The 27,533-nt window shown below is 44.3% G+C and overlaps 1 protein-coding gene across 1 annotated transcript, besides 2 other annotated features; it reads left to right on the top strand.

The window, feature by feature from the left end:
• Nucleotides 10,129-10,920: an enhancer, noted in NCBI's record as "OCT4-NANOG hESC enhancer chrX:103502018-103502809 (GRCh37/hg19 assembly coordinates)". NCBI's record gives its function as "activates a minimal SCP1, AML or CMV promoter by ChIP-STARR-seq in naive and primed H9 embryonic stem cells {active_cell/tissue: H9 hESC(naive and primed)}" and the evidence as "EXISTENCE:reporter gene assay evidence [ECO:0000049][PMID:30033119]".
• Nucleotides 13,324-18,219, top strand: ESX1 (ESX homeobox 1). The gene is made up of 4 exons (NM_153448.4): nucleotides 13,324-13,489; nucleotides 13,680-14,103; nucleotides 15,429-15,474; nucleotides 17,361-18,219. Exons 1-4 carry the CDS (start codon nucleotides 13,408-13,410, stop codon nucleotides 18,027-18,029), a joined length of 1,221 nt encoding a protein of 406 aa, NP_703149.1. The 5' UTR covers nucleotides 13,324-13,407; the 3' UTR covers nucleotides 18,030-18,219.
• Nucleotides 13,879-14,694: an enhancer, noted in NCBI's record as "H3K4me1 hESC enhancer chrX:103498244-103499059 (GRCh37/hg19 assembly coordinates)". NCBI's record gives its function as "activates a minimal SCP1, AML or CMV promoter by ChIP-STARR-seq in naive H9 embryonic stem cells {active_cell/tissue: H9 hESC(naive)}" and the evidence as "EXISTENCE:reporter gene assay evidence [ECO:0000049][PMID:30033119]".

The raw sequence follows: 27,533 nt of genomic DNA, 5'->3' as shown, positions 1-27,533 counted from the left end.
TCCCCTCAAACCACCACCACCCTCAAAAGTATAAATAGAACTCTGATTCAGGCATTTCCAGTTGTTCTTGCCAGAAATGAAAACTAGCTCTACCTGTCCACATAGCATATGCCAGGTAAATACCTCAGCAGTAGATTTTAAAAGCAGCACATAGACATTTTGAGTTCATTGTCTGTATGACTTCTTCACGTTCATTTGCATCAGCTATTGTATAATTACTGCCCATGCCTCAAGAAACCAGGTTACAAATCCCTTTCTACTCACACCTCCACCTATGAGCTAAGTAATGCAAACAGTAGTCCTTTTAAAATTATTGAGGGCCTGGAAGTCCTTTCCATTTATTTTTATTTTTATTTATTTTTTTTTTTTAGGCAGGGTCGCCTCTGTTGCCTGGCTGGAGTACAGTGGCACAATCACAGCTCATTGCAGCCTCAACCTCACAGACTCAAGGAATCTTCCCACCTCATCCTCCCCAGTAGCTAGGGTCACAGGTGGGTGACCCTACACCCGGCTAATTTTTGTAGTTTTTTGGTAGAGATGGGGTTTTGCCATGTTGCCCTGGCTGGTCTTTAACTCCTGATCTCAAGCAATTCTCCAGGCTAGGCCTTCCAAAGTGCTGGGACTTCCAAAGTGCATGAGCCAACACAACCAGCCAATTTCCACCTTTGAGTACCAAAGTTATCCAGTTTTCATTGAAATGATACAAAGGGCACAGGTGTGTGAGTATAGATATCAATATGTAGAACACTGATTTTCCTCTTTGCTTCTGACTGTATCTCCAACCATCTATTAGATATAACAGACATCTGGAAGGCCCATCAGCCCCCAAACTAAAAACATCCACAATTGAATTCACCCTCTTTCCCTAAAACTTGGTCCTTCCCATATTCCTCTCAGTAAATGGTGTCATGTTCTGGCTCAAGCCAAATACTAAGGAATCATCTTTGACACTTTCCTCTTCCTCAATTCTCACATTCAGTCCATCAGCAAGCCCTATTATTTCCACCTCAAAAATAAACACCCAAAAATAAACCTCAAAGCCAGTTTCTTCTCTCCACCTCTGTCATCTGGTCCAAGCCATCATCACCTCTCACCTAGCTGACTGCAACAGCCTTCTAATTCATCTCCTTGCCTCTACAGGTTCCTTCTTCAAGAATTCTTTCTCGGGCCAGGTACGGTGGCTCATGCCTCTAATTCCAGAACTTTGGGAGGCCAAGGCAGGCAGATTACTTGAGGTCAGAAGTTTGAGACCAGCCTGGCCAACATGATGAAACCCAGTCTCTACTAAAAAAAAAAAAATACAAAAAACGTTAGCAGGGCATGGCGGCAGGCACCTATAATCCCAGCTACTCAGGATGCTGATGCAGGAGAAATTGCTTGAACCCTGGAGATGAAGGCTACAGTGAGCAGAGATCGAGCCACTGCACTCCAGCCTGGGTGACAGAGCGAGACTCTGTCTCAAAAAAAAAAAAAGATATGCAGATTGCAAATAAACAGATGAAAAGATATGCAACATCATCAGCCATTAGGAAAATCCAAATTTTCTTAGATATCCACAAGGTATCACTACACACCTATCAGAATGGCTTAAAATAAAAAACAGTGAAACATCAAATGTTGGCGATGATGCAAAGAAACTCTATCAGTCATCTTGAAAGGAGCATAAAATGGTACAGACACCCCAGGAAACTGTTTGGCAGTTTATTAAAAGAACTAACCAAGCTATTACCATACAACCCAGAAATCACACACTTGGGAATTTATACCAAAGAAATGAAACTAATGTGCACACAAAAACCTGTACACAAATGCTGATAACAACTTTATTCACAATAACCAAAAACTAGAAACAACCTAAATTCCATAACAGGTGAATGGGTTAATAAAACCACTCAGGAATAAAAAGGAAAGAACTGTTGATACAAGCAACAACTTGAAATGAATCTCAAGGAAATTATGCTGAGTGAGGGGGAAAAAAGCCAGTCTCAAATGTTATCTGCATGATCCCATTCATATAACATTCTTGAAGTGATAAAATGATAGAGATGGACACTAGATCAGTTGAACCAGGAATTAGAGCACCATGGAGGGGTAGTTTCAAAGAAACCAGGGGTTTCTTTAGAGTGATGGAACAGTTCTGTATGCTGATTGTCATGATGGTAACAGGGGTCTATACATGTGATAAAATTTCACAGAATTACACACACACACACACACACACACGCACATACACACACAGAAATCCAATTAAGTTCTGTATTTTACAAAAACTAGCTGTGCGTGGTGGCGGGCACCTGTAATCCTAGCTACTCCGGAGGCTGAGGCACGAGAATCTCTTGAACCCAGGAGGCAGAGGTTGCAGTGAGCCCAGATCATCGTGCCACTGCACTCCAGCTTGGGCGACAGAGTGAGAATCCGTTTTTTGCTTGTTTGTTTTTTGTTTTTAAAGCCAAAGGGATTACAGCATTGAGGACTGGCAGTCTTGAGGGCTAATATATATATATATATTTTATATATCTAATATATATTATATATCTAATATATATATAAAAATATATATGTATATGTATATATATTTTTACATATATAAATTTATATATATTTTACATATATAAATATATATATTACATATATAAATTTATATATATTATATATTTTTTACATATATAAATTTATATATATATAAATTGAGACAGAGTCTCACTCTGTCACCCAGGATGGAGTGCAGTGGCGCAATCTGGGCTCACTGCAACCTCTGCCTCCTAGGATCAAGTGATTCTCATGCATCAGCCTCCAGAGTAGCTGGGACTACAGGCATGAGCCTCCACGCCCAGCTAATTTTTGTATTTTTCAGTAGAGATGAGGTTTCACCATGCTGGCCAGGCTGGTCTCGAACTACTGACCTCAAGTGATCTGCCTGCCTCAGCCTCTCAACTTGCTGGGATTACAGGTATGAGCCACCAGGCCCAGAGACAATGGGGCCTTGAAACATATGTTTAGGGATTTGGACTTTATCTTGAAAGAAATGAGGAGTCATTACTAGTAGTAGTAGTAGTAGTAGTGTTTAGTATTATTTAGTGTAACTTTTTATTCTAAAATAGTTCAACTCACCAGAAGTTATAAAAATTATAGTATAGACAGCTCCTTTGTACATTTTACTCAGCTTTTTCCAATGATAATAACTTACATAACCACTGTACGTTTTCAAAAACAAAAAAAAAAACTGATCTTGGTACAATACTATATTAACTTGGGGCTTCTCAACCTCAGCACTATTGTCATTTTGGAGCCAATAATTCTTTGTTCTGGGGGATGTCCTGTGCATTGTGGGATATTTAGCAGCACCCCTGGCCTCTACTCACTTGCCAGTAGCAAGCCCCCATCAGCTGTAACACCCAAAAATATCTCCAGATATTGCCAAATGTTCCCTCAAGCTCTCTGATTCTCAGTTTTCTTATGTATGTATGTATGTATGTATGCATGTATGTATGTATGCATTTATTTATTTATTTATTTGAGACTTGTCTTACTCTGTCCCCCAGGCTGGAGTGCAGTGGCACAATCTCGGGTCACTACAATCTCCGCCTCCTGGGTTCAAGCGATTCTCCTGCCTCAGCCTCCCGAGTAGCTGAGACTACAGGCATGTGCCACCACGCCTACCTAGTTTTTGTATTTTTAGTAGAGACGGGGTTTTCCTATGTTTGCCGGGCTGGTCTTGAACTCCTGACCTCAAGTGATCCACTCACCTCCACCTCCCAAAGTGCTAGGATTACAGGCGTGAGCCACTGTGCCCGGCTTCCTCATTTATATAGTGGAAATAATAATGTTGTAAGAATTATGTAAAATCATGTCGTGAAGGCACTTTTTAGTTAGGAGCTGTAATACAAATGGGAAGACCTATTAGCACTTGCCAGCCCTGACTCCCGTGTGTCCCCTAGCTCATCTCCAGCCAAACTGAACTATTTACTGGCCTGTAAGTATGTTCTTTATATTGAGCTATCTCCCTAGACTCCCTTTCCCATCCCTAAATTCTACTCATTGAAATTCTTCCCATAAATTTTTCATGCCCAAAACGCACTGGTTATAAAAAATAGGGGAGGAAAGGAAAAATCCTAAACGTTCAACGTTGGAGAAAATGGCTAATAAATGTATGTCACAGATTTAGCATAGTGCTTGGCACCTATTTATTCATTCAAAAAATATATACTGAAGCCTTGTCAACATAGTAAGACCCATCTCTTAAAAAAAATTAATTAGCCAGGAGGCTGACGATGGAGAATCGCTTCAGCCCAGGAATTTATTCTATATTTTCCATTAGTAGTTTTTTTTTTTTGAGACGGAGCCTTACTCTGTCACCCAGGCTGGAATGCAATGGCGCAATCTCAGCTCACTGCAACCTCCATCTCCCGGGTTCAAGCGATTCTCCTGCCTCAGCCTCCCAAGTAGCTGGGATTACAGGCACCCACCACTACGCCTGGCTAATTTTTGTATTTTTAGTAGAGACAGGGTTTCACCATGTTGGCCAGGCTGGTCTCAAACTCCTAACCTCAGGTGATCTGCCCACCTCAGCCTCCCAAAGTGCTGGGATTACAGGCATGAGCCACTGAGCCTGGCCAATAATTTTTAATGTGTAGAAAATGCTTATGATATAACGTAAGATCACAAAGACAGAATATCAGATAGTTATATTGAATATAGTACATATAAAAATTATAGAAAAAAGAAATTTTTCATTATCATCTATAGATAATCAACAGGTTATGAGTGAGTTTATATTATGTTATTTTTGGCTTCTTTATAGTTTCCAAATTCATCACAACAATCATTCATTACTTTTATGATTAAGAGCAAACAAGTAGTTATTTTTTAAAAATAAAAAAAAAAAGCTGGGCATGGTGGCTCAGGCCTGTAACACCAAGTACTTTTTGAAATAGAAGCAGGAGGATCACTTGAGGCCAGGAGTTCAACACCAGCTTGGGCAACATAAGTGAGACACCATCTCTACAAAAAAAGAGTTTCTTTAAAAATTAACCAGGCATCATGGCACCTGCCTCCTGCCTGTAGTCCCAGCTATTTAGGAGGCTGAGGTGGGAGGATCACTTGAGCCCAGGGGTTCAAGGCTGCAATGAGCTATGATTGCACCACTGCACTCCAGCCTGCATGACAGAGTGAGACTCTGTCTCAAAAAAAAAAGGTGAAAACATATTCTCAACTATACTTTAACATTAATATTGAATTTCACTTCCTCCATATATTTCCAATATATACTGACCTTTTCTTCCTTTGAACTCCCATAGGATTATTTTGCTCCTCTCTTGCATGTGCCTTGTTCCACCTTATATTAAAATATGTTATGCGCTGCTCTGCCTATGGAGTAGCCATTCTTTCATTTCTTTACTTCTCTAATAAACTTGCTTTCACTTAAAATAAATCTCTTATGTGTTTTCTTTCTCTCCATGTCTTGCTCATGTCTGTGGCCCTTGTACAAAATATGTGGACACTGAATTGGAATACACACACACATACACACACCAAGATCACGAAGTAAATCCCAGACTCTTCCTTGGAAGAATTTTGCCACCCCAGAGTTTGCCCTTTGAACTGCCAGAAGAGCTGGAAGGAAAGTGAGAGGGCAGGGGCAACAGTGAACACGCTGAGCTAGTTAAGTTCTGCAGGAGTCTTTGCCTTGGCTAATGCCAACCACACCTACCCATAGTCCCCATATTTGCCAGCCAATCAACAAATCCCTACTGAATGTCTATTATGTACTCAGTACTGCTTTGAAAATACTAAGAAATGTATGAAGTGGAAGGAGTTTGCAATCTAATTAAGGAATGGATACACACATCCGTATACATACATACCGACACATCCATGCATTCATGTCTGCATGTATTTAAAGATAACTCACATACAAAAAAAGCACTGGTTATAAAAATAAAAGGAAAAGAGAAAATTCTAAACATTAAACATTGGAGAAAATGGTTAATAAAATTATATGACAGATCTCACATAGTGCCTGAGGTGATGCGTGATAAGAATAAAATGAATATAGTTCAAACTGCAAATGCTATAATGGCTCAGAAAACGGCAAGAGTGCTGTGGGCTGGGAAGACTTCCTACAAGAGGTGGGCATTAAGCTAGAACTTGAAATATCTGAAAGCCAGTGGTAATTAGCACATGGCATTTTTCTTTCACCATGAAGTAGACTAAAAGCAAATTATTTACCTAGATCATCGCAAGGATCAAGAAGGTCATGAAAGGTATCCCCTCTACAGGATCTGTGCAGAGAATATAGCTGGAGGAAGCAGGCCTTTTGAGGCTTGAGTCCAGGGTACCCTAGTTAGATCAAAGAAATCCTAGGGATGGCGTCCAATTCATGCAATAATGATGGTAGCCATTAATAGTAGTCATTCTACAAGCTTTCTGGTCACAATAGCAAAGAGATCAGGCAAAACAGAAAGAAAAATCATGGAATTTTACCCTTAACCCCTGGTTACAGCAAAGAAGCCCAATGTCCTAGCCTCTGGAGTAGGATTTAGTGTACAAATGATTCGGTTTCATGGAAAAAAACTGAGACGACTGTGGTGTTCCAGGACAGGATAGGGAATGCAAAAATCAATCACTTAGTGCTACTTAAAATTATCAGCAGTAACAGATATCTTCAGGCTGTCTTTCCTTCCCTCTTTTCTTCTCTAAGGCTAGGAATAAATATGTAAATAGCCTCGGCGACTTTTCCTCTTCTTCCATCAGTGCAGACACTATCTCTAGTCTGAAGGGGCCGGGCACGGTGGCTCACGCCTATAATCCCAGCTTTTTGGGAGGCCAAGGCAGGTGGATTGCTTAGAGCTCAGGAGTTCAAAACCAGCCTGGGCAACATGAAGAGACTCCGTCTCTAAAAAAAAAAAAAAAAAAAAAAATTAGCCGGCAATGGTGACGCGCACCTGTAGTCCCAGCAACTCGGGAGGCTAAAGTGGGAGGATCGCTTGAGCCCAGGAGGTGGAGGTTGCAGTGAGTCATGATAGTATTACTGCACTCCAGCCTGGGTGACGGAGCAAGACCTTGTTTGGAAAAAAAAAAAAAAAGTCTGAAGGAAACAGAGAACTGTGGTTCTCCCAATGGTGGGTATAAGAAGCCTCCATGTGCCCCTTACATCTTTAAGAAGTAATACCAGTTTTTTTAAAAGCCATAGTGTTGGCTTCTGACACGAATAATTTATTCATGGCATTTAATAAAAAGATATAACATGGCCGGGTGTGGTGGCTCACACCTGTAATCCCAGCACTTTGGGAGGCCAAGGAGGGTGGATCCCCTGAGGTCAGTAGTTCGAGACAAGCCTGACAAACATGGCGAAACCCATCTCTATTAAAACTGCAAAAAGTTAGCTGGGCATGGTCACAGGCACCTATAATCCCAGCTACTTGGGAAGCTGAGGCAGGAGAATCGCTTGAACCTGAGAGGCAGAAGTTGCAGTGAGCTAAGATTGTGCCATTGCACTCCATCCTGGGCAACAAGAGCATAACCTTGCCTCAAAAAAAAAAAAAAAAAGATATCACCTCACTGATGTTTCATCAGAAGTCACCCCACTCTTGCTGTCAGTTGTGGTGAATAATCAGAGGTGGGCTGTAGGGTCTTTTGGCAAAGGACTGAAAAAATTTCCCTCACTACAGAGTGCCCTTGTAGGAAGAAGAAAGAATCAGAAAGCACATAGGGCTGTGAATAAGCTGCCACTCACCTTAAGGAACAGAAAGCTCCTCTACCCTACCCATACCACTGACCATACCTGGGACAGGGGACCCTCACCCGCAGCAGAAACGTAATCTATGAACACAAAACTTCCATAATATTACAGTTCTCTTGACTGTAAGGTTCTCTAGAAACCATCTAGAGATTGCCTCAGTTTACAGGCCAGAATAAAGACCTCTGGTCTGGGGCCAGGCTCAGTGGCTCACACCTGTAATCCTGGCACTTTTGGAGGCCTAAGCGGGCAGATCACGAGGTCAGGAGTTCGAGAACAGCCTGGCCAATATGGTGAAACCTCATCTCTACTAAAAATACAAAAATTAGCCGGGTGTGGTGGTGCGCGCCTGTAGTCCCAGCTACTCGGGAGACTGAGGCAGAAGAATCGCTTGAACCCGGGAGGTGGAGGTTACAGTGAGCCGAGATCGCACCACTTGCACTCCAGCCTGGGCAACAGAGCAAGATTCCGTCTTTAAAAAAAAAAAAAAAAAAAGATCTCTGGTCTGTCATTAGTTCCTTTACAAAGAGGATATTGCCTGGCAGAAGGAATTCTCATAAGTGGAGTAGTTTAACATTAAATTTCATTTTCAAGATCACGTCCCTACTGTAAAGCATCAGAGCCTGCATGAGCCAGCTAGCCCTCAGCCAGGGGAAAGCAGGCAGGTGTGCCATCTCGGTGTGGTAGTGCCAAAGCCACACTTAGGGCACCCTGAGCCTCTGTATGGGACAGCAACTTCAGATATAAAAATAGCCAATAGGCTGGGCGCAGTGGTTCACACCTGTAATCTCAACACTTTGGGAAGCCAAGGCGGGCAGATCACCTGAGGTCAGGAGTTCAAGACCAGCCTGGCCAACATGGTGAAACCTCGTCTCTACTAAAAATACAAAAATGAGCTGGGCGTGATGGTGGACGCCTGTAGTCCCATCTACTTGGGAGGCTGAGGCAGGAGAATTGCTTGAACCCGGGAGGCGGAAGTTGCAGTGAGCTGAGATCGCGCCACTGCTCTCCAGCCTGGACGACAAGAGTGTCTCAAAAAAAAAAAAAAAAAAAGCTCAATAGCTCAATATCATTAGTCATTAGAATAATGCAAATCAAAACAATAATGAGACACCACTTCGTACCTACTAGGATGGATTTAATAAAAACAAAACCTGGAAAATAAGTGTTGGCAAGGATGTGAAGAAATTGTAAATCTCCTGTACTGCTGGTGGGAACATAAAATGGTACAGCTGCTGTGGAAAACAATGTGGTATTTCCTCAGAAATTTCAACATAGAATTTCGGTATGATTCGGCCCTTCTGCTCCTAGGTATATGCCCCAAAGATTGAAAAACAGATATTCAAACAAAACTTGTATGTAAATGCTCAGAGCAGCACTACTCACAATCACCAAAAGGTGAAAACAACACAAATGCCCATCAGTTGATGGATCTATAACCAAAATGTGGTACAGCTTATACAATGGATTTTTATTCAGCCATAAAAAGGAGTGAAGTGCTGACACATGCTACAATATGAATGAACCTCAAAAACACTATGCTAAGTGAAAGAAGCCAGACATAATTGGACACATACTGTATGATTCCATTTACATGAAATATCCAGAATAGGAAAATCCATAGAACTAGTACATTACTGGTTACCAGGGCCTACAGAGAGGGAGAGAATGAGGAATGACTGCTATTGGTTTTACAGGCTTCCTTCATAAGGTGTTGAAAATGTTCGGAAATTAGATAATTGTGATGGTTGTACAGCATTGTGACTATACTAGAAATCACTGAATAGCACACTTAATTTTTAAAAATCATAATAGTTACCATTCCACAGCATGTTCTCTCTACAAAGCATCATTCTAAGAAGCTAGGCTCAAATCCAAGGTCCAATACATACAAGCTGCATGCCTTTAGGTAAATTAACCTCTCTGTGACTCAGTAACATCATCTGTAAAATGCGGATTAGAGTATTTACCTCCATAGGGTTATGAGGGTTAAATGTGTTAATATTTAATCTTACTTTGAACAGCCCTTTGTATATATTAACAGTATATATTGAATAGTAAGAATTAGCTAAGTGTTAGCTATTATCATTTCAATTAATCCTCACAACAATTCCATGAAGTAGGTGTTTTTCATTATTTCCATTTTACAGATGAGAAAACCAAGGCACAAGGAGATTATGCAACTCACCAAGTTAGTTATTTAACAAGTGGCAAGCAAAGCCAGCAGTCTGGCTTCAGGGTCCCTATTTCTCAACTATTGCTGTGCTTGACATAAATCTGGTATACATAAATCTGGCATTCATAAATCTTGAATTCGTAGCTATTTTTGCCTAGGATGAGATTTAATTAGGTATTTAAGGTTTTCAAAAAGTAAATCAATTTAAGTAAGGGTGTTAAGTAAATACCGTCCTCTCTGGTACCCAGATATGGCAAAACTTGCAAAGGGACACATGAACGACTGAGGTTTAGAAAACATTGGTAAACCGTGGAAATCTAAGATGTGACAGAACACACCCATACTGTTGCCAATATACTAGGTAGGCTACTTCACACCTTGATTAAACCCTGTATGGATTTCTTGTGTGATATAACATCCCAGGGAAAAATTGTTCGCCGGGTATGGAGCCCAAAGAGAAGAAGGCCTGCAGACTCAGCAGGAGCCAGCCTTAGGAGGAAATGTCTTGCTTAAAATCAGAAAGGCTGTGGGGTTGTAACCCTTGAAATCTTTTTGCAAGTGAATACGAGGCAGGAGGACTTATTCATTAGGCACTGTAGTCGAAGTGCCCTAGGCCCACCGCACTTTTAGGGGCCTGTGAAAATGTCTTAACTGACTGGGCACGGTGGCTCACGCCTGTAATCCCAGCACTTTGGGAGGCTGAGGAGGCAGGACCGCTTGAGCCCAGGCGTTAGAGACCAGCTGGAACTACATAGAGAGACCTCGTCTCTACTAAAAACAACAACAAAAAAATTTGCAGAGAGCAGTGTCCCGCGAGCCTGTAGTACCAGCTATTTGGGAGGATCACTTGAGCGTGGGAGATAAAAGCTGCCGTAAGCCCTGAGGGCATCACTGCACTCCAGCCTGGGCGACAGACGGAGACTCCATCTCAGGAAAAGAAAGAAAAGAAAAGGTCTTAATTTCTTTTCAAATCATAAGAAAAAATTAATATAATCCATCCCAAATTATATTCATCCTTATACCAACACAGCTGTAAAATATATATTTTTTTTCTTAATGGAGGAAGGGGCCCAGGAAGGCAAAAATGCCTAGGGCCCACGAAAGTCATAATGTGGCCCTGACATGAGGGTGAGAGTGAGGGTGAGCCTCATGACCTCTGCCTCCTGAGCAGGTCTTCCAGACACCAGCTCAGCAACTAGTGCATGCAGCATCCTGCCCGTTAATATCCTCTCCGTATTGAGCAAACGTGAAGTGGTGGGCTGCGGGAACCCAGCAGTGCTGGATCCCAACCCTGTGGTTTAAGGACATCCAGCTGAGGCCCTGAAGCAAGGGGAAGAGGCCTGAATTAGTGTGCAAGAGAAGGAGGAGACCCCTCACACCCAGGAATTGTAAAGACTATGCCTCCCCCAAATGCCACCTCCTTCTACTCTTACCTGAAATCCCACTATTATTTACTCCTTTGAATTAAGACAGCCGTAATATAGTGAAAAATGCACACATTTTGTAGTTAAAACTGGCTTGTATTGCCATTGGCAAGTTGCCTGGCTCTTTGGGCCCCAGTCTTCTGTATTTTTTTTAAAAAATGGGGGATGATAGGCCGGGCGCGGTGGCTCACGCCTGTAATCCCAGCACTTTGGGAGGCCAAGGCGGGCAGATCACGAGGTCAGGAGATCGAGACCACGGTGAAACCCCGTCTCTACTAAAAATACAAAAAATTAGCCGGGCGCGGTGGCGGACGCCTGTCGTCCCAGCTACTCGGGAGGCTGAGGCAGGAGAATGGCGTGAACCCGGGAGGCAGAGCTTGCAGTGAGCCGAGATCGCGCCACTGCACTCCAGCCTGGGCGACAGAGCGAGACTCCGTCTCAAAAAAAAAAAAAGGGGGGGGGATGATAATGGTGGTTATCAAGGCGAAAGTAAGATAAATCGTGTACAGTGGCAAGCATAGGGCCAATTATTAGCAGGCTTTTAAAAATTTTTTTAATTTTTTTATTTTTTGAGACAGGGTCTACTGTCGTCCAGGCTGGAGTGCAGTATCCTGATCATGGCTCACTGCAGCCTTGACCTCCCGGACTCAAGCGATCCTCCCACCTCAGCCTCCCTAGTAACTAAGTCTACAGAGTTATTTTTATAATATTACGGATATTAACACGTCCTGGAGAACCTGCAAACACTTATTGGAGGGAGAACCATACAGCCTTCAATCATAGCCCAGGACTTTTAATGTGATACATCACTATGGAGCAAGAATTCAGGAAGATAGTTCTAGAAAAAGGGAGGGGGAGGAGGAAGAAGGGGTAGTGGGGAAGGCGGGAACTCTCCCAGGTCCACAGCACAAACCCGGGGAATACGCGCGCTTTAGGAGCCTGCAGAACGGGCTTCTGCAAAGCGCGCTGCAATAAGAAGCGCAGGAACCTAGTACAGCAGACGTTTCAAGTGCCGCGCATCAAAAGACGGGGCCCCCGTAGTGTAAGCATTCTTGGATGCACTATGCACTTAGCAGATTTCTATACTTGCACTCTGACATAAGTTCATTACTAAAAAGCTTAAGTCCTTGGAGCTTTCTCAAAAAGCACGTTGGGTTTCTTGCAGCGTGCACCTGAGCAGCGGACTGCTCTTCAAATTCAGCCCCAAATTCCCGCTCCCGGAATGCACGGTGGGTTCTGAATTCAAAAATCCAGAGCAAGCAGCCTTCTAGCCAATCATTGCACCTTATCACTATCCTGACTTTGGCGCGAACTGTACAGAACTAGATAGTCCTATCCATTTGTCACTAATTTCTAGCAGGGGAGAGTCGTGCTCAGAACCCAATTGCATGGTAGACTAACAAGTTCACTTTCGCATGTTTGGGCTGCTGAACTTTCCGCGCTTTCCTCAACGCCATCTCTCGGTCTTTTCCGTGGGGGAAGCAAAGGGCATCGCTCCACCCAAGTGCTGCGGGGTAAAGACGGTTGGGCGGAGGAACACTGCCAAAATACCTCTCCACGGGCTGGTGCGAGGTCTCACCCCGCCCCCTCGCCCCCTCGCCCCCTCGCCCCCTCGTCTCCTCGCCCCCAAATCGGCTTTCACAACCCAGCCGCTTTTTCCAATCTGGGTCTCTGCTCAAGTTGGGAGTAGTTAGTTAAGCAGCAATTTGGGGCCACTGTTCCCCGCAAAGCATGTTCACTACCTGCACCATGCTTGCGCACGCTCGCCCTATTTTTCGTACGCCCTGGACACGAATGCGTCCCCCGGGGGTCGCACTCACAACTAGATGTACTGTGAATGCTAATAGGGGGCGTTTAACCGACGCGTGTGCATACGCTTTGAACCTGCGGAAGGCACCGTACCGCTATATAGGGCGCGCAAGTGCCAGACGGCGCCAGAAAGAGGTCCCGGCGCCAGAAAAGCGCTCGCCCGAGCCATTGGTCCCAGAGCCAGTTCCAACCCCGGGATCGCCGCGGAACCACGCACAGAGTCTGCAGAAGTGCACAGCTTTATCGACAGCGCTTGAAGCATGGAGTCTCTTCGCGGGTACACCCACAGTGATATTGGCTACCGCAGCCTGGCAGTCGGCGAGGACATCGAGGAAGTGAATGGTTAGTGCTTGGACAGGGACGGGAGCTTTCGCGAACTCCAAAAGAGGAATTTTTCCCTGGGAGAGGCAAGCGGAGGAGACGCTGCGCGGCTGTCGCAGTTGCTCTTCCATAGCGGGTCCCCTGCCTCCTCCAGCCCACGCGCCGTGGGCTCCAACGCCCTGGTGTCTCTTTTGCTTTCCTCCCTTCCCAGATGAGAAACTTACCGTGACCTCGCTGATGGCAAGGGGAGGAGAGGACGAGGAGAATACACGGTCCAAACCTGAGTACGGAACAGAAGCGGAAAACAACGTTGGCACGGAAGGGTCCGTCCCCTCGGACGACCAAGACCGTGAGGGTGGCGGCGGCCACGAGCCGGAGCAACAGCAGGAGGAGCCGCCCCTGACCAAGCCGGAGCAACAGCAGGAGGAGCCGCCCCTGCTCGAGCTGAAGCAAGAGCAGGAGGAGCCGCCCCAGACGACCGTGGAGGGGCCACAGCCGGCGGAGGGGCCACAAACCGCTGAGGGACCACAGCCCCCAGAGAGGAAACGCCGCCGCCGCACCGCGTTCACGCAGTTTCAGCTGCAGGAGCTAGAGAACTTTTTCGATGAATCTCAATATCCCGACGTTGTGGCGCGGTAAGTGGCTTGCCCCGGAGGCGCCCAGTTCATCCCGGGACCCTTTCACCGGAGCTAAAAGCCACGTAGGGGGCTCACGGGCGCTGCCTCCGCCCTTGGTTTTTGGGGGACGTGGTGGGCGGGGCGCGGAGGATGTAAAAGACTGGGGCGGGACTAGGGTAAAGCGAGTGAGGCAGGGTGGGATCCCGCCTTTATTTAAAATTTTGGCAATTTGCTCACCATGGGTTGTTTTTGCATTAATTTTGATACGTTTTAATATTGCATTAAAATATTATTTGTCTTGATTATCGAGTTTTTTAGCGCCATTTACATTGTGCGCGCGTGGCGAGCGCCTCACTCTTTTCGCCCTAGTAACCGCCCTGCCACGTGGAGCGCACTTTTACAACCAGGGGGCGGACTTTTGAGCTTTCGGTAGCCAGCGACCCCTTTCCTTCGCTAGCCTCATCGGAGCCCTCCTCATACCGACCCGTAGTGTACGAAGGGGCAGGCCTTTTCTGGCCAGGCTGGAATGGGGGGCGGGGGGCACCTGGACAGGTCAGAGTAGGGTTAAGGGGACCTTTCTGGCTTCGTTGTACTTAGCCTTCGCCCGGCAAAGAGCAAAAAAGAATTTCCCTAGGGCGCGCTTGGCCGATGTGGTTTGGAGTTCCCTCCCTGAGAGTTCACCTCTCCTTTTTACGATAAACAGAAATACTGTGGTTCAATACAGCGCTTTAAAGGTGTTTTGGCATTTAATTTTTTTTTGTTTTTTTTTTCACGGACGGACTTCCCAAGGAAAGATTTCCAGGGTTGTTCTCTGCTGTTTCACAAACAGAAGAATTGAGTCATATTCAGCTAACAAACCATCGGGCGCTTTTACATATGTTTCCTTTTTCTATCTTATTTAACAGCGAAGTTGTTAATGGGAAAAACCTCCCTAAAGCGAGTCCCAACCGTATTACAGAAAACTGCACTGGGAGGTGGGGGAGAGAAATAATGTACATTCATATATATATATATATATGTTTTTTTTTTGAGACTCACTCTGTCGCCCAGGCTGGAGAGCGGTGGCGCGATCTCTTCTCGCTGCAGCCTCCACCTCCCGGGTTCAAACGATTTTCCTGCCTCAGCCTCCCGAGTAGCTGGGATTACAGGCATGTGCCACCATGCCCGGCTAATTTTTGTATTTTTAGTAGAGACAGGGTTTCACCATGCTGGCCAGGCTTGTCTCCAACTCCTGACCTCAGCAACCTCTTCGGCCTCCCAAAGTGCTGAGCCGAGCCACGTTCATATTATTGCATTTTATCCACAACTCCAAATACTGAATATTTGTAATTTTCTCCCCTAAGAGAGAGACTTGCAGCACGCCTGAATTTGACTGAAGACAGAGTGCAGGTCAGTAAATCTTGAAAAAGCAATTTGGCAGGACAGCCATTCTAAAGCATGCTTTAGGTTTTGTCCTGGACATTCTCAAGCTGGTGTTTTCTGTTGTCTTTTCCATGGTTGACAAATAAGTTTTGAACAGTAGGGGCTTTAGTGGTAGAAAATAGGATGTGTAAACTTCAGATTATGGAAATTGCTCATAAACAGAGGAAATATGATTTCCTAAAGGAAAAAAAGATGTGTTTTCATCTTCCTTCTATATCTGTATCTGTCTTTCTCTCCATATAGTGTATGCACATGTATATGTACATATACACATTTACGTACACATATATGCACATGTATACACATACATACATACATATATCCCAATAAATAAGATTAACCTTCTTCTAACACTGGTATCCTCTAGGGAGAATGTTAGTTTTCCCTAAAGGATTACTTCTATATGGAGTCATGTTCGGGGCTCAGTCTCACCTCGGAAGTATTCAAATTAATGCACAGAATAGCTCAGTTTTATAAGAAGGTTCACTGTACTAAATTATTTAAAATATTTAAAACCTAGCACAAGCACTTAGCTAAATGAGTGAATTTATATTTAGGCATTGGAGTGAAGGAGTAATTCACACACAGAACACAGTACTAAAGTAGGGAGTGGCAGCCCTAAATTTTAATTTTTTGGGAAGATTTTGATGTCAGCCTGAAAACATTGCTAACATATTTCAATTAAGTGGTAATGGGGAAAACATTTGTAAGCTTTGGAAAACTGTCTTTAAAAAATGAAACAAAAAAAGAAAGAAGAATTTGAATAAAATTCCCTTACCTAAGAAGGGTGGAAAGATTAGAGAAGAATTGTATACAGTCAAACACATGCATTGCAGATGTCACACAAATTCAACTTTATGAAACTACCAAATGCATAAGAGAATGTTCGCTTTTTTGTAAACACCTTAGAAAAAACATCTTAGATGTTTTATTCTTTTTGGTGATATTATTTTGAAAAGGTGGGTTTTCTGGAATTTGATTGATTAGGGGGTTCTCTCAGTTCAGGCAAGATTCTTACCTGTGTTGATTTAAAATACCTTTTCATTTACTCAGGCAGTTATGACTAATTTTGCAGGTCATGGGATCAAAAGGTGACTGTTTGAAATTACAGAAGACCATAGCTGCATCAAGGAAGTATTTGCAAAAAAATAAATAAATAAAAGTTAGAATGGGCTTATTAGCTTTGCCTCAGGGTGTGTGTGTGAGTGTAGTGATGGAACTGCACTGCACGCCTGTGGGTGTGATGTCTGGAAAAGCAGCCCAACAAAGTAGACCACTGAATGCTGGAGTCCTGATGCCAGGGGCCCATAGCCTCAGGTTGGGATGACGTATCCTCTGCCTTCTCAGGGAAGCAAGGTAAACTCAGAGGAAAAGAAGAAAGGTTTGCTGAGCTGCTTTTTTCCCTCCCAGGGTTTGCATAGGCCTCTCAATGGATTTATGAAGGAAGGAAGAAAGAGCCAGAAAATACAAAGAAGGAAAAATGACAGTGTTCTCATCTATTTCCAAATTCTATAGCATGAATATCCCCCAAAGACACTTTTAATAGACACTCCCCTCCTTTTCTTTGCAAATATAGTAGACTTATTTTATGAAATCAGTATTGAGAATGCAGACCCAATATGGGCCCATACCAAAATTTGCCATCTGTTGGCTTTGGTTATGTTTAGGCAGGGGTGACCACTAGCACATCTGAGCCCCTCCCTCACTCCTCTAAGATATTTCAGCAATAAGAAAATAGCTTCACCTGTTGCAGTTTAAAGTCTCAGTGGCATATAGAATTCCATGTTATGTTTTTTTCTATTATGACGTTAACTGTTCAAAATACTAAACCAATTCATTTTTCCCCTCTGAAGGTTTGGTTTCAGAACAGAAGAGCCAAGTGGAAACGAAATCAGAGGGTGCTAATGTTGAGAAACACTGCTACTGCTGACCTGGCCCACCCTTTGGACATGTTCTTGGGTGGGGCCTATTATGCTGCTCCTGCTCTGGATCCTGCTTTGTGTGTTCATCTGGTGCCACAACTACCTAGACCACCTGTGCTGCCTGTGCCACCTATGCCACCCAGGCCACCCATGGTCCCTATGCCACCCAGGCCACCCATAGCACCTATGCCACCCATGGCGCCTGTGCCACCCGGCTCACGCATGGCGCCTGTGCCACCCGGGCCACGCATGGCGCCTGTGCCACCCTGGCCGCCCATGGCGCCTGTGCCACCCTGGCCGCCCATGGCGCCTGTGCCAACCGGGCCGCCCATGGCGCCTGTGCCACCCGGGCCGCCCATGGCGCGTGTGCCACCCGGGCCGCCCATGGCGCGTGTGCCACCCGGGCCGCCCATGGCGCCTCTGCCACCCGGGCCGCCCATGGCGCCTCTGCCACCCGGGCCGCCCATGGCGCCTCTGCCACCCGGGCCGCCCATGGCGCCTCTGCCACCCAGGTCACATGTGCCTCACACTGGCCTGGCTCCTGTACACATCACATGGGCCCCTGTCATCAACAGTTATTATGCATGTCCCTTTTTCTAAAGTAAGGTATTCATAACAGTTTTTCCAAAGTTCTTTCCTGCCAGATAGAAATTGTGCACAGCACAGCATCAAGTAATTCGTTAGATGCTTGTTAAATGAAGTGGGTAGGTGAACAAAGTTAACGAATGCCCTGTTATTTTTGTAGGCCACATAATTGTAGTATTTTCAATAAAGATGTGACTTAATAGTACGTTGGTTTTGTATGCCAAATGGGGTCAGTAGAATATGGATGGGAATTGCTAAGGGAATGCAATTTGAATAGAATGGTGAAGAGACCTCTTCTCATCAGGTAATATCCCTGAGTCACCATCAATATGTCCTGCACATCACAGTTTGCCAAGTGCCCATGATGGGTTTACATTGACCCACCCATTTTCCCTCCACACCTCCCCCCACCCCATCCTCACCCCTCTACCCTGCCCCATTGGGAGCATATAAATGTGCAGGATGGGAGTCTAGTAAGAGAACAGTGCGTTTCCAGGGAGGGCCACGTTCCATTCATGCTAAGGAGCTCAGGCTAAATCATGGACTCTAAGAGAAACTTACTAAGACGCTACTCACAGAGCCCTGAGGGAACGGGGCAGCCAAATGTGCATCTAGTACTCTCCAAATTCTGCTCCCTGCCCCCTTTTTTTTTTCTTTTGAGACAGGTCTCTGTCGCCCAGCCTGGAGTGCAATTACATGATCATAGCTCATTGCACCCTCGAACTCCTAGGCTCAAGCGATCCTCCTGCCTCAGCCTCCTGAGTAGCTGGGACTACAGGTGCACCACCAAGCCTAGCTAGTTTCTGTTGTATATTTTGTAGAGATAGGGGTCTCATTGCAGTGCCCAGGCTGGTCTCAAACTCCTGTTCTTGAGCGATCCTCCTGCCTCCAGCCTCCCAAAGTGCTGGGATTACAGGTGTGAGCCACTACACCCAGCCTGCCCTCTGCTTTGTGGAGGAGACAGAGGAATAGGAACTATTCTGGCCCAGAGGTTCTGCAACTTCAAAGGAGACACAAGAAGGGGCTCCATCAAGACCAGAAAGAGGTGCTCTGTCTTTTCTCCACCATTAGGCCAGGAGAACCTATTACTGTAGCTTCCCCAGCTAAGAAGTGGGCAGTCACACCTTCCAGTGTGTTTTTCACCTTCAACATCTTTGAGAGAATCTTGGTTCCTGCCAATTAAATTGAAAGGGAACCTTTTGGTTTAGTTCAAAGCAAGAGATGGTCCCTGAGCAGTGTTCCAGAATAATCACTCACTGAAAAGAAGTGGTCAGACCTTTGCTATGTCTGCAGTCTTTATGCAAATCTGCCTCGGTAGGAAGCAACAAAAACCAAAATGGGGGAGTGGGAGGAGGCCAAGCCCACTATTTTTTAAACATTTAACTTTTTCGTAGAGCCTTTACTTTTGAGCAATTTCTAGCCATTTGCAGTAATTTTATGAACACATTTTATGCTATGAAATGATAACAATGGCTTCAGATAAGGGTGTCATAGTTATACCAGAATTTCTTCTCACAGGAGGCGGGCTTGAGGGGGTTATCAAAGACAAGTTTCACAGCAGTTACATGCTCCCAGTTTGAAGGGCAGCTCTGTTTTCTCAGAAAAGCATACTTTTTTTTGCAGTGTTGCCTGATACTTTTTTTTTTTAAGACAGAGTTTCGCTGTTGTTGCCCAGGCTGGAGTGCCGTGGAGAGACCTCGGCTCACTGCAACTTTCGCCTCCCGGGCTCAAGTGATTCTCCTGCCTCATCCTCCCGAATAGCTGGGACTACAGGCGCCTGCCACCATGCCTGGCTAATTTTTTGTATTTTTAGTATAGACGGGCTTTGACCACTTTGGCCAGGCTGGTCTCGAACTCCTGACCTCAGGTGATCCACTCCCCCTCGGCCTCCCAAAGTGCTGGGATTACAGGCGTGAGCCACCACACCGGGTCCGCCTGATACTTTTTATTCCTTTCTTCTCTCCCTTCACACATAAGGATGTCAAGCATTAGCAAAGCAGTTAGAGTCTTAGATTAGATTATATCTAAGATTTCTGCAGCAAGGAGGTCATTACCTCCCCAAGAGTCCCAGTCTCTGATGGGAGTGAGAAACATCCAGGAATGCATCTGTGATGCCCATTGCCAACCTCACCGGGTGATTTTGAAACTCAGCCTTTCTTGTTTCCCATTGTTTCCCTTTTGTTAACATCTAGTTTCTCAATGCTTTAAGTCCTCTTGGAGCTACAGGGTCTGTACAAATAAAGGTGCCAATACCCCATCCAGCCTTGCCACCCTGAGACTCAAAGCCAAACAGCATCCAGCACACGAATCCCACAGTTAATTCATAACCAATTGGACACACACAAACATAGAGCATTTTTTTTCATCTCAGGCAGCCTGGAAGAAGCAAAAATACAAATATTCTTTTGCATACATGAATAGAGTCTTCAAGAGACATTTATATTATTTTCAAGTCATATCTACTTCTTCCAGGTTCCAGATGATTTAAGGAGGGATAGTGGGATGGGGACAGGAAATATGCAAAACATTCCTGCAGATAAATACTTCCTCTTGGCCAGGCGCGGTGGCTCACACCTGCAATCCTAGCACTTTGGGAAGACAAGGTGAGAGGATCACTTGAGCCCAGCAGTTAGAGACCAGCCTCTATAACATAGTGAGATCCCATCTTTACAAAAAATTTTAAAAATGTAATTGGGTATGTTGGCACATGCCTATAGTCCCACCTACTCAGGAGGTTGATGTGGGAGGATCACTTGAGCCTGTGAGGTTGAGGCTGCAGTGAGCTATGATCGAACCACTTTACTCCAGCTTGGGCGACAGAGCCAGACCCTGGCTCAAAAAACAACAACAGAAAAATAAACACCAAAACAAAACAAAACAAAAACAAAAAACAACCTTCCTCTCAGTCTAGGCTTTAAAAGGAGGAGGTCTTCTACAATAATCTCAGAAAAAGCATGTCTCTCTCTCTCTCTTTTTAGGGACAGGGTCTCGCTCTGTAGCTAGGACTACAAACGCGTGTCACCACACCAGGCTAATTTGTTTTTTGTTTTGTTTTGTTTTGTTTGTTTGTTTTTGTCAAGACAAGGTTGCACTCTGTTGCCCAGGCTGGTCTCAAACTCCTGGCATCAAGCAATCTTTCCACTTTAGCCTCCCAATGTTTGGGGATTAGAGGTGCGAGCCACTGCGCCTGGCTTCTAAACAGCATTTCTCTTAAAGCGTGTTTCCAATTCCCTAAGACATGGATAAGAATTATTGTAATATAAGGAAATTAATTTATAAAAAGCCTTTAGAAATTAGCTCTCAGCAAATAACATTTACCTTTCATAGATGGTCTTTGCAGAAGTTAGTTTTAGCTGAAAAGTTATGAATGTGATCTCAGGAGGGGTGCAGGAGCTTCAGCATTGTGCAGTACTCTAATAATTCTGGATATGCTATTGCTTTCTAAAATTGTTTCACATTGAAGAACATATGCCAAGGAGCTTTCACAACAGTAATTTTTATGGTCAAATTAAGCAGGGAGAAGGTGAGCTATTTAGGGGGACAAGAAGCCTCTTTGAATAAAACTAGATTTATATAACTTGGATCTTGTTTCAAATAGATGTCATCAGAACTTAGAGGTATAACTTGGAAGTGCCTGAGAATCAAAATTCTAAGCCATTACTTGGACTACAAGTACTTAGAAAAAAGGGGCAAAGAAAGAAGGGACTAGAAATAATTCTTTAGCTGAGAATACAAGGGTCTCCCTTGAGATAGGTGTGAAAGGTGACTTCTTAAACAAAGAGAGAAATTACTGTAAATATATACAAAATAGAAGAACAGAGTGGTTTGACTTTTTTTCAAAAGAACAGACATTTGCCCGAATTTTGATCATGGGGTGTTATATTTAAAATTGGGCATGTGCTGAGCATGTATGGATGTACTGTTTTTCTACCCAATCATTTGGAGCTGGTAGCTCTAGGAATTGTTGAAAACCTGAAGGTAAAATATGGTGCTTGAATAGAGTCCTGGCCAGATGCAGCAACTCACGTCTATAATTTCAACACTTTGGGAAGCTGAGGCCGGAGGATCGCTTGAGGCCAAGTGCTTGAGACCCTCCTGGGCAACATAGCAAGACTCTGTTTCTACAATTTTTTTAAAAAATTTATCCAGTAGTCCCAGCTACTTGGAAGGTTGGGGCAGGGGGATGGGTTGAGCTCAAGAGTTTGAGGCTGCAACGAGCTATGATTACACCATTGCACTCCAGCCTGGGCAACACAGCAAGACCTTGTCTCTAAAAATAAATGATTAAATAAAAATTGAGTCCTTTACTGAATTTCCTAATTGGTAAATCCAACTTTGTCTAATTCAAATTTCTGTACCCCAGGGACTCCTACTGATGGAAGTAGGGGAGTTAGTACAAAGTGGTGCATAGATCCTGGAGCAGGGCTCTCAAACCTTGAGTGGAGGCTCTCTGGAGGCAGTACATATCATAGCATAACCCTCATCACACACTCGTCTTTCTGAGAATGCTGCATGAAATTGGGGGAATTCATCTGGGACTTTCCTAATGCTCCCTTCCAATTAGTCAAGGCAGTAGGGTGACCCAAAGAGAATGAACCCTTTGCCCCAGACACCTCCTTTTTCCTAGCAGGCACTTTCTCATGTTCCTTTGCAAATGAAACAAACATTCCTGAGTCCTGCAGTAAAAGTATGGCGACCACAAGGAACCAATACCATCATTTCATGCCACTCTTCCAAGCAATGGGCCTTTCTCTTTCTAGGGGACGTGCAATTTAAAGGAAGAGACCATGGCATTCTTTTCGAGCGGAAGGGGGTTTTCACAGCCATCCAGTGCACTCTCTTCATTTTACAGATGAGGAGACACAGGCCCAGAGCAGCGGAATGGTCTGCCCAAGATAGCATGCAGAGTTCATCCCAGAGAAGGCCAGCTTCTGTATCGCCATGGCCTCCCTTGGTGCCCAGGACTGCCCAGCTAGGGGCAGCACATACCATTGCAGGTGTAGCTCCTCAGTGCGTATCACCTCCAGCTGCCCAGACCTTTTTCCTTCAAGGGGCTATAAACTCAGGGCTCCTCCCCAAGCCTCGGCACTGGGCCATTTTACCTCTAGGAAAAGTAAGCAACTTCCCCTGAAGGCATGCAGTATCCTGGTGTCCACTCTTGAACGGCTGAACAGCAGGGGCTTGAGAGAGTGATGCAATTTGTACCCTCCTCACAAAAGGCCGAGTGTGCTTCCACTACAATAATCCTCATTTCCCCCAATCCCCTTGCAAAGCTGTGCCTGCCAACTGGCAGCACAGCACATAAGCAACAGCCAGTTCTGGGCTTGTGTTGAATTAACTTTTTTTGTAAAGTAGGCTAATAGTTTGGAAACTGTCATTATGCAATTTGTATTCATTTTGAAATGTGGTTATTTATGCTTTGCCTTGATCAATGTCACACTCTCTCCTTCTCAGATGTTAGCACAGCACTATGGGGCAGGGACCCAAGGTGCAATTTGTGTAAATTTAATTTTCAAATGCACCCCAATGGTCTGTGTGCCTCCCCATGAGAAGCACAGATCTTAAGGAGACTGTCTGGATTCCCAACATTTACATGCAAATATTTTTAGACTCTAGGAATACAAAAGACTCTTTCTGAAAGCACACTCTGTTGTGCTTCACAAACAAGGGGACACAAGTGATTGAAGAGATGGCATACAGGCATGGGCAGCATAATTGATACACCTGGACCCTTCTGAAACACAGCCCCCAGACAAAACTAGGGTCTCTATGAAAACTGTGGAGTTGGAACACAATTTTCTATTCCAGGCTCAAGAATCTTGGTTCAGGAAATAAATAAGAGGCAGAGTAGAGACCAAGGAAGAGTCTCTGACCAATTCCCTTTGAACAAGAGAGACAAAGAGATGAAGCAGATGTTTGAAGTCAGGAGTAGGAAATCAGCCTGTGGTGACCTAGGGGAGAAAGAAAGCCATGTCCATGGCTGGGGACCAAGCTGTTGCTGTGGTGTGGGGAGATAGGTGGTAAGTTGGCACTGCCAACTGTATAGTGTCTCTGGGAGGTAGCCAGTGGGGCTCAAGGAGGTGGCTCTAGCCAGCAGGGCTTTACAGAAGAGAAGACAGGAAAAACAGAACACAGGTTCATATGCAAATCAGTCCCTAGTATCTCTTTCCCCAGTCCCCATCACAAGGCAAAGCAATGCGGCTACCCTTTCTCTTTTCCTCTCATTCCTACCTTTCATTAACTCAACTGATCATCCCAAGGGGCCTCTCCAGGACTGAAATATTCATGAGGAAAGAGGGAAAACCAGGATAGAGAGGGGGTCCTATGATATGATTGTCCCTGGCCAAGGTGCCCAGCCCCAGTACCTCAAGAAATACCCAGGATGGTTCTATTTCTTCACTTTAACCAGAAGGAATTTCCAAGCATGTCCAATGAATTTCATGGGCCCACCTACCATATCAAAACCTCAATTCCAACAGGGAGTCACAGTCACACAGAAATATTGCAAGGTACTGAATTGGTTCTTCTGGTGTTTATTTAACATAGAGCCTTAGACTTTAGGGCATCTCCATGGCCCAACCTGTTCTTCCATTAAATGAACATCTATAGTCTTAAAACTCTGCTTGAGGGCTCAATCCATTCATTCTAAATAGGAAGCAAGAAGGCTGATCATCAATTGTGATGGTCAACAGGCAGGACATGAAAAGATAAGAAGGTCATCTTCACAAGTATGAAGTCCCTGTACAAGGGTAACAAGCAAAGCCTAGGCCAGAAATCAAGGTCTGTTCACCTCACACTACTCCTTATCATTTCCTCCCTGGGGAACCCTGAGAAGGTCTCAACCCACAGGCAAAGTTCAAATGGCATTTTGAATTTCTCTATTCATAGCCCCACTCCCTGACATTTCAGGGATCTTTGCACAAGTGTGGCTTGTTCTCTCCCATAGCTGATAAGCCTTGTAAAATTATATATCAATGTCTCAATTAAATAGGATCATATTTGCAGAGAACATTGGTTCATCAGGATTGTGTATTTATTGCAGGGTAAGGTAAATCACCAGGAAAGTCTTTTTTCTTTTAATCCCTTTTTCCTTTTTAAGTCTTTTAAAATTATTTTGCTGTGGTTTTCATTGTGTTGTGCTTTGTATACCATTTAGAGAAGTCCCAGGGGTCAGCATCCATTCGATCCAATTGTCCGCTTCTTTTTCAGTTACAGTCCTAGCAAGGACGTTTGATCTCCAAAATGATGACCCTGAGGCACTGCAACCACACAGCAGACCTCCAGAATATGCCATGCTCATTTCTGACCCACACCTTTCTTAGCTGGTATTGTTCCATCCTCCTTCCTCGTCTAGCTGAATCATTCTGGGCTTGCTTCTGTCATGCCTTTTCCTCCTCCTTTCAACTCTCCTCCTTCCTCTTCCTTCCCTTTCTCAACCTTACCTTCCCAGCTCTTTTCTCCCCTCCCTGAACCCCTGTGGGCCTGAAGTGTGCATCACTCATTTGACAGGAACCTTCATAACTTACAGCATCCCGCTAAAACCAAACTGTTTTGTGGATGTAATTCTTGTATACCTTACCTGCGCAGTAAGCACCTGGAATTTCCATCTGGTTCTCCTACTTTTCTTATTCCCCCATTGCACCTACGATGGTGCTGTACATTTAACAATAATAAATAGTGATAATGGTAAGAGCTAAAATTTGCTAAGGGCTTACAATATGCCAAATACCATGCTATGCATTATGCATGAATTAATAACTATCGCTATTTTGCAGATGAGGAAATTAAGACAAAAGAGATTAAATAACCTACCTGAAATCACACAGCTGATAAGTGCCTATGATAGAATTCAAGCCAAAGACTTTGAATCAAAGGTTTAATTTTGTTTGCTAGACTCTTCAAATTTGAGAGGAAAATGGACTAATGCATATTTTCACAATTTTTTCAACGTAAAGGATAGAAATAGACAAAACATGGGTTTCTTGTTAATTTTCAGTTCATCAGAAAGTGCCATTAAAAAGAATAATCCCCATTTCTTGAGCATTCTGTTCTATTAAGGATTTATTTTAATATATCATCATGCAATATTTCTGGATAAAAACTCAGCATTTAAAATCATTGAGTATCAAATTGGGAATTTTGATCTCATTTGTTCCTCTACCTGAACCTTTTCTCTGTTTTAAGCTTTCCTTTTTAAAAGAGAAAGCAATCTCCCCTTTTCTAGGTGAATGGAGGACAGACTGTGAACAAACCATATCATTGGAATCTGGAAGCTTCATATTTTCAAAAGAAAGGTAAAACGAGTCATGAATATGGCCAACTCTGCTTGTTTGAATCAAAGGGTGTCTCTTTTGGTGATTTTTGTTTGTTTGTTTTTTCAGACAGAGTGTCTCCTTGTCACCCAGGCTGGAGTGCAGTGACGCGATCTCAGCTCGCTGCAGCCTCAACCTCCCGGGATCAAGCAATTCTCTTACCTCAGCCTCCCCAGTAGCTGGGACTATAGGCATGCACCACCATACCCTGCTAAGTTTTGTATTTTTTGTAGAGATGGGGTTTTGCCATGCTGCCCAGGCTTGTCTCAAACTCCTGGGCTCAAGCGATCTGCCCACCTCCTCCTCTCAAAGTGCTGGAATTACAAGCATGAGCCACCGCGCCTGGCGGTGTTTTTTGTTTTTTGTTTTTTTTTAAGTTTATCAGACAATAGCTATGAAAGTAGTTAATGGACCACAGGCACTGGAACTGCAGGCAAGCACCATCACACCCAGCTAATTTAAGATGGAAACGTTCATGTTATGTATATTTCACCATAATTTTTTAAATGAAAAAGTAGTTTGTGGAGCGTTTCTTGCAATTCTACACTCCTGTATTCAAAGGAAGTCCTGTTCTTTTATTTTTGAAGAAAACTGTCTTGAGTGTATCAAATGCCATAGTCCTACTTTTTTCCCACCTCCCCAAGGTCACTGTACCTGAAAAGCCCTTATATATGGAACCAAGTACAGGGAAGGCATTTTCACACACTCTCTCCTATTTTAATCCTTTTTTTTTTTTTTTTTTTTTTGAGACAGGGTCTCACTCTGTCACCCAGGCTGGAGTGCAATGGTGCGATGATGGCTCACTGCAGCCTTGACCTCCCAAGTGATCCTCCCACCTCAGCCTCCTGAGTAGCTGGGACTACAGGTGCATGCCACCACACCTGGCTAATTTTTGTATTTTTTGTAGAGAAGGGGTTTCGCCATGTTCCCCAGGCTGGTCTTGAACTCCTGAGCTCAAGCAATCCACCCACCTTGGCCTCTCAAAGTGCTAGGATTATAGGGGTGAGCCTTTGCACCGGGCCTTTTCTTTTTTTCTTTTGAGATACCTACCGTGTCTGGCTATGTTGCCTAGGCTGAACTCAAATTCCTGGGCTCAAGCGAGCCTCTTGCCCTCAGTTTCCTGAGTAGCTGGGACTACAAGCACATGCCACCATGTCCAGCTTTCCACATTTAATATGTCTGCATTGTTCTCAAATAGCAAATGCCA

This window comes from Homo sapiens, chromosome X (assembly GCF_000001405.40).
Source record: "Homo sapiens chromosome X, GRCh38.p14 Primary Assembly".
Classification (NCBI taxonomy): Eukaryota; Metazoa; Chordata; class Mammalia; order Primates; family Hominidae; genus Homo; species Homo sapiens.
This window is presented reverse-complemented; position numbering and strand designations above follow the sequence as displayed.